Genomic DNA, 14889 nt, shown 5'->3' with positions numbered 1-14889 from the left:
GATTAGCCACTCAACGGCTCCAACCTTGGTTTCTCATCCTCAGGATGAGGATAACAACAGGGTGGGAAAGTGCTTAGCAACAAATATCAAGTCCCTTCCTCTCTAAGAGATCTGCAAACTTTCAATGTTTTGACTCCTTTGTGAATATGTGTATGAGTGAATGTTAAATTGCAGTATAAAACAAGTCACATAGCAACGATACCCCTGGGAAGAGAAGCAATGCCTACCCAGATCAGATCACCATGGGACACTCCAAAGCTCCGTCATTGGAGCTCAGCAGCAGTTGGGAGGGAGGGGACAATAAAATGTAACATGAGGGGAGGACAACTTCTAGCGCAATAAGGGAAGGGTACGAATGACCCCAAATCTTCCAGCATGTCACTGGCAGGAATGTTATGAAGTTTCTACAACTAACTTTTTTGATTCTACTACATTTAAGAAAAAAAAAAAAACTGAACCATTTAAGTGACACTCCAATGGCAAAGCTGATGTTGTGTTACCTTAGAGACATTAACGGAAACTCTGCTCAAGGCAGCCAGGGACTTCCAACTGAGAGGCCTGCGGAGAGAGCCTTCAAAATGGTCATCAACTAGCTCGATAATGACAGAATAACTGGAAAATACAGAAAAAGCATGTTAAAAGTAATCATGAAATAAATCTGTTTAAAAAGAATATTTGTCCTACCAAGAACAAATATACAGAAAATGAAATTTGCATCATCTGATTCTAAATTCCCCTAAATTGCTATTGAGAAAATATTAATGAAAAATTCATACTTTAAGTTACAAACTTTCAGGCTGATTCCAAAACTTACAGGAAAAAACAAATACTTTTCCCAATGTGAAAGCTGTAAATTCACACAACTGTTTAGGCACTAATACTAACTAATTTTTTTTTTTTTTTTTTTTGAGACGGAGTCTCGCTCTATCACCCACGCTGGAGTGCAGTGGTGCGATCTTGGCTCACCGCAACCTCCGCCTCCTGGGTTCAAGCAATTCTCTGCCTCAGCCTCCTGAGTAGCTGAGATTACAGGCGCCTGCCACCATGCCCAGCTAATTTTTTTGGATTTTTAGTAGAGATGGGGTTTCACTATCTTGGCCAGGTTGGTCTTGAATTCCTGACCTCATGATCCACCCACCTTGGCCTCCCAAAGTGCTGGGATTACAGGCGTGAGCCACCGCACCTGGCCTAAGTGATGTTAAAATGAACAATTACGGCACAGATTAACTCAGTGTTTAACACTAGAACATATATTATCATAAACTATGCATCATCCTATATATAGTATAATGACATTAGTGTGTAAGGAGGCATGAACATATAGCATCTATTCGTATCAGGCCAGGAAGAACATGACTTTTGTTCCTATGGCACCAAAAAGTTAAATTAGAGGCCAGAAATTCCTTGTGTCCCTTTAACCCATTAGTTTATTTAAAAATCACTCCGAACCTTGCATGGTAAAATGGAGGGCCTTTCCGATATAGCACTGCAAAGAAGAAAGAAAAAAAAGAAGTATAACCACTCAAAATAATGAGAGAGGAGTAAGACTCAACAAAAAGCTTGCTTTATTAACTTTTCTTCTCCAAAAGGAAGCAAATACTCAATAATCTATATGTAGACAGATCATCTGCAATATGCCTGTGGTCTATTTTTTCAGACAGGGTCTCGCTCTGTCACTCAGGCTGGAGTGCAGTGGCATGACCATGGCTCACTGCAGACTTGCCCTCTTGGGCTCAAGCAATCCTCCACACTCAGCCTCCTGAGTTGCCAGGACTACAGGCGTGCACCACCACACGCAGCTAATTTAAAATTTTTTTTTAGCAACAGCATCCCACTATGTTGCCCAGGCTGGTCTTAAATTCCAGGGCTTGAGTGATCCTCCTGCCTCAGCCTCCCAAAGTGGGGGTTTACAGGTGTGAGCCACCACACCCAGCCACCATCATCTATTTTTAAAATCCAAACTATTTTTTTCCTGAAACAAAGTACAATTAGTAAAGAAATCTGTTGCCAAGACCCTAACACCTCGTTTCACCCTACAAATAAATTCCAAAGTCAAAGTACAGGCAATCTTGCCTTGCCTCTTGTCTTACACTCTCCAGAGTGAGTGTGAATCATACTGAGAGGTGTAAAATTCATAGAATGTGGATCAATATTTTGTTATTGATTTCAGATCAACGTAATGCAAAGTGTCTGACTCACTACTCTGGCCAGCTACTGTGACAGGGGTTGGTAAAAGAAGAGGAATAAGACTCATGCCTATTTTTAAGAAATTCAAAGTCAAGTGATAGAAGTCATAACCATACATGCCATTCAAGTATCAGTTTGCTCCATTACTGAGGACCTGAAGAAGATGGGGGAATTCAGTCTGTGGAGGTCGAGAGCTACTCAGTGAAGGAGCCTGGGGCCAGGGACTCTGACACACAGACTCTGGAATCTGGCAGGGAACCCTTCAGAGGCACATGGTCTGTGGCAGGGACTGGCTAACTGTTCACCAAATCCAGTTATTTCTCCCCCAGGTGCATGGCCAGACCACAGCTCTCAGTCTCCCGTACAGTTAGGTATGGAACGTGACCTTGGAAGCTGTGTGCTGAAGACTGGGAGCCACCAGGAAGCAGTTACTAAAGCATCTTTTGGAGTTGATTGGGCCGCCAATCAGAGACAGCCGTGTTGGATTTCACATGAACAAAAATGAACTCTTATTGTTAAGCCCCTGAGACTTAGGGTTTATATACAACTACAGCTATGGGAATTGCCATAACGACACAATTACATCTGTAAGCTGTTAGCTGTCCTCTGTGCTAAAACCAGCTCAGAAAAGTTCAAGGCCGGGAGGCGGAGCTTGCAGTGAGCCGAGATCCCGCCACTGCACTCCAGCCTGGGCGACAGAGCGAGACTCCGTCTCAAAAAAAAAAAAAAAGAAAAAAAAAAAAGAAAAGTTCAAGGAAAAGTTTTGTTTCCCTTGAGGAATGGATAGAATTTTCCTTTTTGGACACATCAATCCTGTAACTAATCATGTTTCTTTTTGGCTCAGGAAGCTCAGAGCCAAATTTGTAGCATGACTTTAGTAACCATATAGGGCCCCAAGGACGACACAGTAACCCTTCACTTAGTCTTGTTTTGCGTCTGTATTTTCCATGGTCACATTTCCTTTCTGTATTTCCTATTTAAGTTGTATTTAAAGTACTCAACAAGTCAGCTCAAATTCACTGAGGCACAAATGTAAGTAAATATCCAAACATACAATTTTCAACTTTTTGAGATGGAGTGTACTGGAAAGAAACCATGTACTGGAACAAAAGTGAACTTGGGAGTTTTGTTCCCTGCCCAATCTTTGCCTCTTCAAGTTGTGTGCCTTTAGGCAAGTTATTAACTTCCCTGAGCCTCCGTTTCCAAAATCCTAAAATGAAGACATCAGGGGAAATTGAGATCTTTTCTAGTCCTCAAATGACATTACCTGTAATCAAACACACATCTTTAATCCAATATGCACCTGGAGCATTACACAGCTTCAAAGTAGCTCACACCCACAAGGCAAGTAATTTCTGATGATGGGCTCCGACACAGCACAGCTTAGTTTAAGCAAGAACACTGGCAGCAGATGGACCCAAGGTCAAGTCAGCAGTGCCAAGACCATGGGACAACTCTTTATGTCAATTTCCTTATAAAAATGGGGATTATGGTGAAGGCAGAAGTATTAGCACGGTGTATGGCATACAGTAAGCATCACAAAGTTACCTATGCTAGTAACAATTACAGTCTGTGTGGCTTAATGATGAGGATACGTTCTAAGATATGAGTCCTTAGGCAATTTCGTTGTTGTGTAAACATGGTAGAGTGTACTTACACAAAACCTAGATGGTACAGCCCACCACACACATAGGCTATGTGATATCACTTATTGCTCCTAGGCTACAAACCTGTTCAGCACGTGACTGTGCTGAATCTGTAGACAATTATAACACAATGGTTAAATATCTGTGTATCTAAACATAGAAATGGTACAGTAAAAATACGATATAAAAGAGAAAACCCGTATACCTGTATAGGGGACTTATGAATGCAGCCTGCAGGTCTGGAAGTTGCTCTGGGTGAGTGAGTCGTGAGTGAATGCGAAGTTCTAGGACAGTACTGTGTGCTACTGTACTCTTTATAAACACTTTTTTTCTGTCTTTAGATTTTTTTATACACATATATAGAGAGAGAGACATGGTCTACCTATGTTGCCCAGGCTGGTCTTGAACTCCTGGGCTCAAAGGATCCGTTCGCCTTGTCCTCCCAAAGTGCTGGGATTACAGGTGTGAGCCGCCATGCCTGGTCTCTTTCTTCAATAATAAATTAACCTGGCTGGGTGCAGGTTAACATACAATGAACCATGATGGATATGACCGTGGTCCCATAAGATTATAACGGAGCTGAAAAATCCCTATCACCTAATGACATCGTAGCCATCATGCTGTCATAGTGCAACGGATTATTCGCATGTTTGTGGTAATGCTGGTGTGAACAAACCACCGGGCGCGGTGGCTCACACCTGTAATCCCAGCACTTTGGGAGGCTAAGGTGGGTGGATCATTTGAGGCCAGGAGTTTGAGACCAGCCTGGCCAACACATTGAAACCCTTTCTCTACTAAAATCACAAAATAATAAAAAAAAATTAGCTGTGGTAATGCATGCCTGTAGTCCCACCTACTTAGGAGGCTGACGCGGGAGGATCATTTTAACCTAGGAGGTTGAGGATGCAGTGAGCTGAGATTGTGCCACTGCACTCCACCCTCGGGGATAGAGTGAGACCTTGTCTCAAAAACTACATAAATAAATAAAAGTAAAAATAAGGTCTGAAAGAACAGGGAGTATAAAAGGAAAACTCTTTCTTACAGAAGAATGCTAGACAGAGGTGTGGAATGAATGACAAAACCAGAAAATGATTAGTGCAATAATTAAATCAGACAACTATTATAATTATTAGATTATACTTATGGTATCTACTTATGGTATCACTTATGGTACTTATGGTATCACTACTTATGGTATCACTCCACAAATGACTTGTTTTTTACAAAAGAAAAACTGTAATTATATGACAGACATTGACAATGGCCACCATCAAACTTAGCATCACCACAGCAGGAAAACCTGACTTCATGCACTTCCTGACACACTCCAATAAGCACACACATCACCTACGTGTGCTAAGAGAACCCGAGCTTGAGTCTGATCATCAGGAACAATCAGACATATGGAGAATGGGGAACATCCTAAAAGACTTCGAAAAAAGTCAACATCATGACAAACGAAACAAGAAGGTAGAGTGACCATGTCAGATTAAAAGAGGCCAGGCACGGTGGCTCATGTCTGTAATCCCAGCACTTCGGGAGGTCAAGATGGGTGGATCACCTGAGGCCAGGAGTTCGAGACCAGCCTGGCAAACATGGTGAAATCCTGTCTCTACTAAAAATACAAATGTTAGCTCAAGCACGGTGGCAAGCATCTGTAATCCCAGCTACTTAGGAGGCTGAGGCAGGAGAATCACTTGAATGTGGGAGGCAGAGGTTGCAGTGAGCTGAGATCGCGCCACTGCACTCCAGCCTGAGCAACAGAGCGACACTCTGTTTCAAGAAAAAAAAAAAAAAAAAAGAGACCAAAGAGATTGCAGTAGGTTTAATGGCAGCTCCCAGAAAGATATGTTCATGTCCTAATCCCTGACTTGTGAATGTGACCTGGAATGTGGAATGTGACTTGGAAAAAGAGTCTTTGCAGATGTAACTAAGTTTAGAATTTTGAGATGAGATCATCCTGAATTAGCTGGATGGCCCCTAAATCTAATGTCAAGTGTCCTTATAAGAGAAAGGGGATTTGACACAGACAGACAAGGTAGAGACTGGAGGGATGCAGTAACCAGCCACAAAACGCCTGGGGCCACAAGAATCTGGAAGAGACAAGGAATGGATTCTCTCCCAGAGCCTTTGGAGGGAGCCTGGCCCTGATGACACCTTGATGTTAGACTTCTGGCCCCTAGAACTGTGACAGAATGAATCTTTGTTGCTTTTAAGCCACCCAATTTGTGGTAATTTCTTATAAGCCCTAGGAAACTAAAAGGTAGATATAATAATCAAATGTGATTGTAACAAGAAAATCAAAGCCAGGGGCCTGCATGGTGGCTCACGCCTGTAATCCTACACTTTGGGAAGCCAGGCAGTAGGATGGCTTGAGCCCAGGAGTTTGAGCCCAGCTTGGGCAACACAGAAAGACCCCATCTCTATAAAAATTACAACCAAAATAGCCACAAAAGACATTACAAGGACAACTGGAAAAATTTAAGTATAGACTGGATATTTGGATGATATTAAGTAATTCTAATTTTTCTCAGGCATTACATGGTATGTAGGAGAATGTCCCTATTCTTTGGAGGTACACATGAAAAATACTTACGGATTAATATGGATTATGTACGTAAACGTGAAGAATATTAACAAAAATATATCAAAAGTTTGACTAGAAAAACAAGCCAGGAGGTGGCTTAGAAATGAATCAAAGGCCCGGATGCCACGGCTCACGCCTGTAATTCCAGCACTTTGGGAGGCCGAGGCAGGCAGATCACTTGAGGTCAGGAGTTCAAAACAAGCCTGGTCAACATGGCAAAACCCTGTCTCTACTAAAAATACAAAAATTAGCTGGGTGTGGTGGTGTGCGCCTGTAATCCCAGCTACTTGGGAAGCTGAGGCAGGAGAATGGTTTGAACCTGGGAGGCAGAGGTTGTAGTGAGCCGAGATCGAGATCGTGCCACTGCACTCCAGCCAAGGCAACAAAGTGAGACTTTGTCTCAAAAAAAAAAAAAAAAAAAAAAAAAGAATCAAAGAGGAAGATGAGGAGAAGACACATCTTCTTGTTCTGTGACAAACAGAGAGCTGCTCTGTTGACCTCCATTCACGGACAGAACTGTTAGTCTCTGGGCTGGACGTCACAACAGGTCATGGTTTCTTCTGGGTCTGGAAATTCTATAACTCTGCTAGCTTTCAATGGCTCCCACCATTCCATTTCTGTGCTGGGACTTCAAATTGGCAGAAAGCTCAGAAATCATACTTATCAGTCAATGCAAATCCCTAACTAGGGTTGGCTGGGAAGGAGGCTTAGGAGTAACCAGACCTTTGGGTCACACCAAATCAAATCAAACCATAACTGTGTACATAAGACAATATAAATCCTGCGTTAGTTTTCGGCTTCTTGGCAGGCAACATGACTTAGGTATGGTAGGAAGATAGGGAGGATAGACCCACAGAGCCCTAATCTGTGTACTTAACGAGCTGTTAAGTACTCCAGCAACTTACCTAACCCTTCTAAACCTCAAACTCCTCTGCTACAAAAGGAAGCTACTACTACAGACCTCACAGGAGTGTGAAGATTAAATGAAACAACAGAAGAAAACACCAAGGCAAGGTGCCTGGCTGGCCCTAGGAGCTGGCAGCCAGGGGAGCTGCTGAGTAGGGAGTGTAAGGAAAGGCTCCCTCTTGGCTTCTGGCCTGGCTTCCCCAGTAGGCAAATAAGGTCAACTAGGTTGGCAGCTGCACTTGATTTGAGAACCATATCACCTCTTCCAAATACTGCTCCTGGAATGAAATTTGATTGACAAGATTTATTCAAGGGAAAAGTTTCCCTGATAAGGTGTGAATTTCACAATGGTCTTGTATTAGGAGTCACTAGCTCTCTAAGGAAAAACAATTGTTAAGAGTTTAGCCTATGTTGGCAGTTCTAGGCTTCATGTGACTAGGTCATTGGCCTTTGAAATTAAAATAATATCGTTAAAAAGCAGCAGGAACTGTGCAGCCATGCCTGAAGATGAGGTAGAGTTTAGGAAGCCGCTCCTCATATCCCAGACTAGCACTGCTCAAGAACCTTTGCTTATGCAGAGAATGTGAAGACACTTTTAACACTGATGCTGGCCCAGTCTGACTCTGTGTGTGGGTCAGAGACCTGGTCCCACATTAATTGTACAATTAATGTATTAATTGTACATCTGTTTCTAGATGATATGTCCCAGTGAGGGCAAAGGCCTCCAGGGGAGTTGTAAACTGAGTAGTTTATCTTTTTTGTTTTCAAAATTCTATTTATCTGTCCATCCATCTATCCATCTGTCCAACCATCCTTATAAGGCAGAATATCTTTAAATTAAGGAAGCTTCCCCTATGCATCATCCAAAGTATAACTTGATCATTAAAATAAAGTTGCAGACAAAAGAACCACAGTATGAGATTAAGAACATTAATAAAATGAACAATTATAACAATACACTATAATGAAAGTTATGAGAATCTGATCTCTCAAAATATCTTAATTTTTATTTTTTATTTTTATTTTTTATTATTATTTTTTGAGACAGTCTCACTCTGTTGCCTAGGCTGGAGTGCAGTAGCGCAATCGGCTCACTGCAAGCTCCGCCTCCTGGGTTCACGCCATTCTCCTGCCTCAGCCTCCTGAGTAGCTGGGACTACAGGCACCTGCCACCACGTCTGGCTAATTTTTTGTATTTTTAGTAGAGATGGGGTTTCACCGTGTTAGCCAGGATGGTCTCGATCTCCTGACCTCATGATCAGCCCGCCTCAGCCTCCCAAAGTGTTGGGATTACAGGCGTGAGCCACCGCGCCCAGCCTATTTTTATTTTTTTTTAAGAGACTCTTACTCTCTTGTGCAGGCTGGAGTGCAGTGGTGTGATCTTGGCTCACTGCAACCTCTGCCTCCCAAGTTCAAGAGATTCTCGTGCCTTAGCCTCCCAAGTAGCTCAGATTACAGGCATGCACCACCACACCCAGCTAATTTCTGTATTTGTGCTAGACACAGGGTTTCACCACGTTGGCAAGGCTGGTCTCAAACTCCTGACCTCAGGTGACCCACCTGCCTCGGCCTCCCAAAGTGCTGAGAATCCAGGCGTGAGCCACTGTGCCCAGCAGATATCTGAATCTTTTTGACTACAGTTGACCTTGGGTAGCCTTGACTCTGCTTCTTCTTACAGTGCTTATCTGTTGCAGAAACTACGTCATGTAGTTATTTGCTTGTGTGTCTCCCCCATCCCCCTAGAATGTAAACTCCATGAAGGCAGCTCTGTTTGTCCTGTTCACTTCTGTATTCTTGATGCCTCAAACAGTACCTGGCCCACAGCAGACCTTTAGTCATTATCTGCTGAATGAGGAACTCACCTACTCCAGACCCTCACTTTAAGATTGGGGGATGCAGTGGAATACTAGGCAGCCACAAAAATGGACAAGATCGTGTCTTTTGTGAGAACATGGATGGAGCTGGAGGCTGTTATCCTTAGCAAACTAACACAGGAACAGACAACCAAATACCACATATTCTTACTTGTAAGTGGGAATTAAATGAAGAGAACTTATGAACACAAAGAAGGGAACAACAGACGCTGGGGTCTACCTGAGGGTGAAGAGAGGGAGGAGGGAGAGGAGCAGAAAAGATAACTACTGGGTACTAGGCCTAGTACCTGGGTGATCAAATAATCTGTACAACAAACCCCTGTCACATGAATTTACCCATGTAACAAACCTGCACATGTACCCTTGAACCTAAAAATTTTTTTTTTTTGAGGTGGAGTCTCTGTCACCCAGGCTGGAGTGTAGTGGCGTGATCTCAGCTCACTACAACCTCTGCCTCCCGGGATCAAGCAATTTTCCTGCCTCAGCCTCCCAAATAGCTGGGATTACAAGTGCCTGCTACCACGCCCAGCTAATTTTTGTATTTTTAGTAGAAACGGGGTTTCACCATGTTGGTCAGGCTGGTCTCAAACTCCTGACCTCAAGCGATCTGCCCGCCTCGGCCTCCCAAAGTGCTGGGATTACAGGCGTGAGCCACCGCACCTGGCCCTAAATTTAAAGTTAAAAAAATTAAATAAGTAAAATATTGATTTAATTAAAAAGAAAAGATCAAGGGAGGCAGTACTGTCAGACATTTCTAAAAGCGTGGGCTTCAGAATTCAAAGTGCAGCTTTGCAAGTTACTGGCCCTGGAAACTATTATGGGCAATGACCTACTTTTTCTAAACTGTAGTCTCCCTATCAGAAAATGAAGACAATACGGCCGGCATGGTGGCTCACACCTATAATCCCAGCACTTTGGGAAGCTGAAGTGGGCAGATGACGAGCTCAGGAGATCGAGACCATCCTGGCTGGCACGGGGAAACCTTGTCTGTACTAACAATACAAAAAATTAGCCGGGTGTGATGGCGGGCGCCTGTATTCCCAGCTACTCGGGAGGCTGAGGCAGGAGAACGGCGTGAACCCATGGGGTGGAGGTTGCAGTGAGCCAAGATTGTGCCACTGGCACTCCAGCCTGGGCAACAGGGCGAGACTCCGTCTCAAAAAAAAAAAAAGACAGTAAGCGTCTCCACTGCATAGGACTACTGTAAGGATTAAACAAGATGATGAATGTAAAATACTTAGTAAAATGCTTGGCACATGGCAAGTGCTCAATGATGGCTGTGGCGATTATTACAATTATATGATTGTTCTCACTTGGCAGATGAGGCCACTGAGGCCCGGGGATAAGGGACTCTCCCAAATTACCCGATCTCATGGCTAGAGACGTGGGGGTGGGTGCTATAGAATGCTTTTTCTTTTTTTTTCCTTTTGAGACGGAGTCTTGCCCTGTCGTCCAGGTGGGGTGCAATGGCGCGATCTCGGCTCACTGCAAGTTCTGCCTCCCGGGTTCACGCCATTCTCCTGCCTCAGCCTCCCGAGTAGCTGGGACTACAGACACCCGCTACCACGCCCAGCTAATTTTTTATATTTTTTAGTAGAGAAGGGGTTTCACTTTGTTAGTCAGGATGGTCTCGATCTCCTGACCTCGTGATCCACCCACCTTGGCCTCCCAAAGTGCTGGGATTACATGCGTAAGCCACGGCGCTCAGCCAGAACGCTTTTCTAAGATCATAGAGCAAACAAGAGGGAAAGCCTGAACTGGCGTTGCAAGCTTCTACTCCTAGGCCTTCTCCCTAGACTGCCTTTTCTCTTTTTGCACTTACCCTTAACCCAATCCAAATATCCAATAATCTTATCTAAACCCAAAGGATACCTTCTTAGAAAACATCATCAACAGCACACAAGATCAATTTGATATTCTAGGGTGAATCTGATATAAACTCTATTCTCACACACACCACGCCAAGAATTACTTACGTAAATCTGTCCCGTACTTGAGTCCCACTTTGGGCACCCAGCCCTTGCTTCGAAAGTAATGGTAGGCCATGTAGGTGGTTCTGAACGTGGGCTGAACTACAGTGAAAGCTTTCCAGAGCTTCACTATCGTTAAAGGCTCCTAAAGTTATTTACAAAAAAACAAAAAGCATTACTATGTATGCATTCACTCTCCGTTCAGCCAGGGCACCAACATCTATACTAAGTGTGGAGCTGAAGCAGTGAAGAAAATGCAGTTCCCCCAGCAGAGCAATTTATTTATTTTATTTTTGAGACAGAGTCTCGCTCTGTCACCCAGGCCGGAGTGCAGTGGCGTGATCTCGGTTCACTCCCAGCAGAGCAATTTAGCAAGAAGGTCTGGTCCTGCCCTGTCCAGTGGGGCAGCTGCCAGCCATACATAGCTAGTCTGAACTGAGAGTGGCTCTAAGTGTAAAATATACACTGACTTCCTACTCAGTATGAAAAAAAAAAAAAAGAGAGAATATAAACTATTTCAATATCTTTGAATAAGTTGGGTTAAATAAACTGTGTAATACTGTATTAAAATACCACCTGCTTTTTAAAAAATGTTTTTAATGTGGTTACCAGAAAATCTGAAATTATACACATGGCTCCCATCTGAGGCTCTCACTGTCCTTCTATTGCACAGCACTGCTCCAGAGGACTTAGAAAAGGCAGCATTTGAGCATGACAAGTAGTGAGGGAAAAGGACTGGAGGGGGTGGTGGTGGGCTGGGAAGGACATTCCAGGCAGAGGAAGCAGTGCATGCAGGGGGCTCACTGTAACAAGCCCACCAAGGCTGGAGCACAGTTCGTGACAACATTTCACAGACCCTTAGTGAGTGGCTACTCTATGTCAGCTCATGTTCAGAAGAACAAAAAACACTTTTATAGTAAAACTTAAAAACAAACAAACAAACCTCCATTTAGTGTTTGAAACTAGAGAATTTGTTATCTGATGGCACAAACTAATAATTAACTGCTTAAAAGACAATTTTGTTTTTAATGTGGGAGTCAAAGAGAATGAGAATAGTTTGGTCTAGAGAATATTCTGATGTATCATTACCAAAAATACAATGACAACAAAATAACTAGGTAAGTTTGGAAAATTTTTGCTTTATTTCAGTAGTTACTGAAACAATCAAGTCTTCAGCTGATTTAAGGCTCAGTCACTCAGTGAGACTGGCTCAGTTTGTCCCAGCCTAAGATTATAATACAATAGACTAGAGTTGTTTTTTTTTTGCAGTTGTTCCTAATGCAAAAATTCCATACCTGTGTGACCTTGTGACCCCAATGTGAGTAACAAGCAACAGCCTTATAGAGAAGGCTGAATTTCCAACACAGCCCAGTGTTGTTCAGATGTTGAGGCTTTTATGTCACAGCTGTAACGTTCTGACACATTTCAGCTAAGGCCCGCGAGAGGAAGCAGGGTGGGGCTAAGAATTGCCACCATTTGGGAAAATGAGCCATTTGTCAGGCAGACATTGCTTCCAAACGGCTGGAATACCCATGAACGGTATTTATGCAATCAGAATTTGATGACTGATTAAATTATGTGCTCCCAAGAGCCAAACAGAATATACCTTATCTGCTCCATTTACTGTTCTGTTTACTTTTCTCTTTTAAATTTTATTTGAATTATTTTACAATTATCTCCCTTCCAAAGGCAGCAGGCAACAACAGCACAAAGTCATGGGCTTTGGAGTTACTTGGACATAGGTTCGAATATTTATTCTAACCAGACTAGCTGTGTGACTTTGGGTACATTATTTATTTTCTCTGAGCCTCAGTTACCTTATCTGCAAATTCTTTTTTTTTTTTTTGAGACAGAGTCTCGGTCTGTCGCCCAGGCTGGAGAGCAGTGGCGCTATCTCGGCTCATTGCAACCTCCACCTCCCAGGTTCATGCCATTCTCCTGCCTCAGCCTCTTGATTAGCTGGAACTACAGGCGCATGCCAACACGCCCGGCTAATTTTTTGTATTTTTTTAGTAGAGACAGGGTTTCACCATGTTAGCCAGGATAGCCAGGATGGTCTCGATCTCCTGACCTTGTGATCTGCCCGCCTCGGCCCCCCAGTGTGCTGGGATTACAGGCGTGAGCCACCGGGCCCGGCCCCTTATCTGCAAATTCTAACCAGGTGGAGATAAGGACTGGAAATATTGCGTGTAAAGTACCTAAAATATAGCTTTTACCATAGTAGGTGCCAAATACGGGTAACTTTTATTTTTGTTAATTTTTAATACTGTTCTGACACAGATTTCCTAATCATTATCCAGTACAAGATACTGTACTTCTCCTAGTTTTGAGGAATGAAATGCAATCTAAAAGGGTCAAAGATGCCTTTTGCTCGAACAGTCCCACCTCAGGACCCAAATCCAAAACTTTAGAGAAAAATTCAATTCCTATTTTATTCAGTAAGAGTAGAAACATTTGTATTAATGCAATATAGAAATTAGTACAACCTGCTTTTAACAACAGGGAAATTTTAAGTGGGTTGTATGTAAACAAAGCATCTTACCTTCTCATAGTAAATACTTAAACATCCCAGAGCATAGACCAAGAAAAAGGCCTGAAAATACAGCAAGCAGAAAATGCTCATTACAAATAGTTTCACATTCTTGTGAAACCATTTTACAGACTGATCTCTTTTCACCTCAAATACAAATGCTCTTAAGTCATCATCAAAAAGGTCACACACACACACACACACACACACACACACACACACACACATATATTTTGTTTGTTTGTTTTTGAAACGGAGTCTCACTCTGTCGTCCAGGCTGGAGTGCGGTGGCACATCTCCGCTCACTGCAAGCTCCGCCTCCTGGGTTCACACCATTCTCCTGCCTCAGCCTCCCGAGTAGCTGGGACTACAGGCGCCCGCCGCCACGCCCGGCTAATTTTTTGTATTTTTTTCAGTAGAGACGGGTTTCACAGTGTTAGCCAGGATGGTCTCGATCTCCTGACCTCATGATCCACCTGCCTCGGCCTCCCAAAGTGCTGGGATTACAGGTGTGAGCCACCACACCTGGCCAAAAGTCACATATTTTTAATATAAATGGTTCATTCAAATGTCTTAGATTTTTTTAAAAATCTAAGAAAATACAAATGTTACAAACTGGCTTAAATCAATAAAAATAAAAGATTTTTATGAATGTTTCCATATTTATTCCCTAAAAAACCTATATAACTGAAGAATGATGTTAACAGCTATAGCAATAGAAACTGTTGCTCATTGGAGTTTCTCCCTGTAAAATTAAATAACCATATTTAAATTGAGAAAAATATATCAACAAAAAAAAAAGGTGTGAAAAGTGTGGGGCAGTGCTGATTTTGCTTACCTGACAAAATACTAGTTTCCCAGTCATCTTTGGTGAAGTGATTTTCTAGAACCCTATGTTTGCACTGACCTCACATAATGATATATTTTACTGTGTGGGGGGAGGCTGTAGGAATGGCAAAGAAAATTGGCTCCAGTTGAATATAGTCACACTTAAATGGAAATGAAAATGGCTTTCTGTTAAAGTAATACACTGCCAAACACTGACACCACCCAAAGAGCCATGTGTTGTTGGCTTTGCCTGTCCAGGGCGCTTAGGGTCTACAGATACCACTGAAGGGATTCCCATGAGATTGGTGCAGAGCAGGTAGTGACCAAATGGTAGCCAGTGGTAAAATGGGGTCACATTTCT

General features: G+C 42.9%; 1 protein-coding gene across 42 annotated transcripts in view, besides 1 other annotated feature; it reads right to left on the bottom strand.

The window, feature by feature from the left end:
- TSEN2 (tRNA splicing endonuclease subunit 2) overlaps nucleotides 1–14889 on the bottom strand; it is a 59394-nt gene that overhangs the window by 9251 nt on the left and 35254 nt on the right. For 34 of the 42 annotated variants that reach the window (XR_007095741.1, XR_007095740.1, XR_007095739.1 and 31 more), the window contains 4 exons: nucleotides 13713–13763; nucleotides 11177–11315; nucleotides 1450–1486; nucleotides 501–612 (listed from right to left, as the gene is read on the bottom strand). Coding sequence is in view for 20 of the 42 variants with exons in the window: in XM_047449029.1 (XP_047304985.1) it covers nucleotides 501–612; nucleotides 1450–1486; nucleotides 11177–11315; nucleotides 13713–13763 (339 nt within the window). In the remaining 22 variants the exon portion in view is untranslated. Of the gene's footprint in view, nucleotides 1–500; nucleotides 613–1449; nucleotides 1487–11176; nucleotides 11316–13712; nucleotides 13764–14889 lie in introns of those variants that run through there. The other 8 variants (XR_007095744.1, XR_007095745.1, XR_007095746.1 and 5 more) reach the window with 4 other exon arrangements.
- Nucleotides 12730–13230: an enhancer, noted in NCBI's record as "H3K4me1 hESC enhancer chr3:12558643-12559143 (GRCh37/hg19 assembly coordinates)". NCBI's record gives its function as "activates a minimal SCP1, AML or CMV promoter by ChIP-STARR-seq in primed H9 embryonic stem cells {active_cell/tissue: H9 hESC(primed)}" and the evidence as "EXISTENCE:reporter gene assay evidence [ECO:0000049][PMID:30033119]".

The sequence above is a fragment of the Homo sapiens genome, chromosome 3, assembly GCF_000001405.40.
Source record: "Homo sapiens chromosome 3, GRCh38.p14 Primary Assembly".
Classification (NCBI taxonomy): Eukaryota; Metazoa; Chordata; class Mammalia; order Primates; family Hominidae; genus Homo; species Homo sapiens.
The sequence above is the reverse complement of the archived record's forward strand: the minus strand, read 5'-3'. Positions and strand labels throughout refer to the sequence as shown.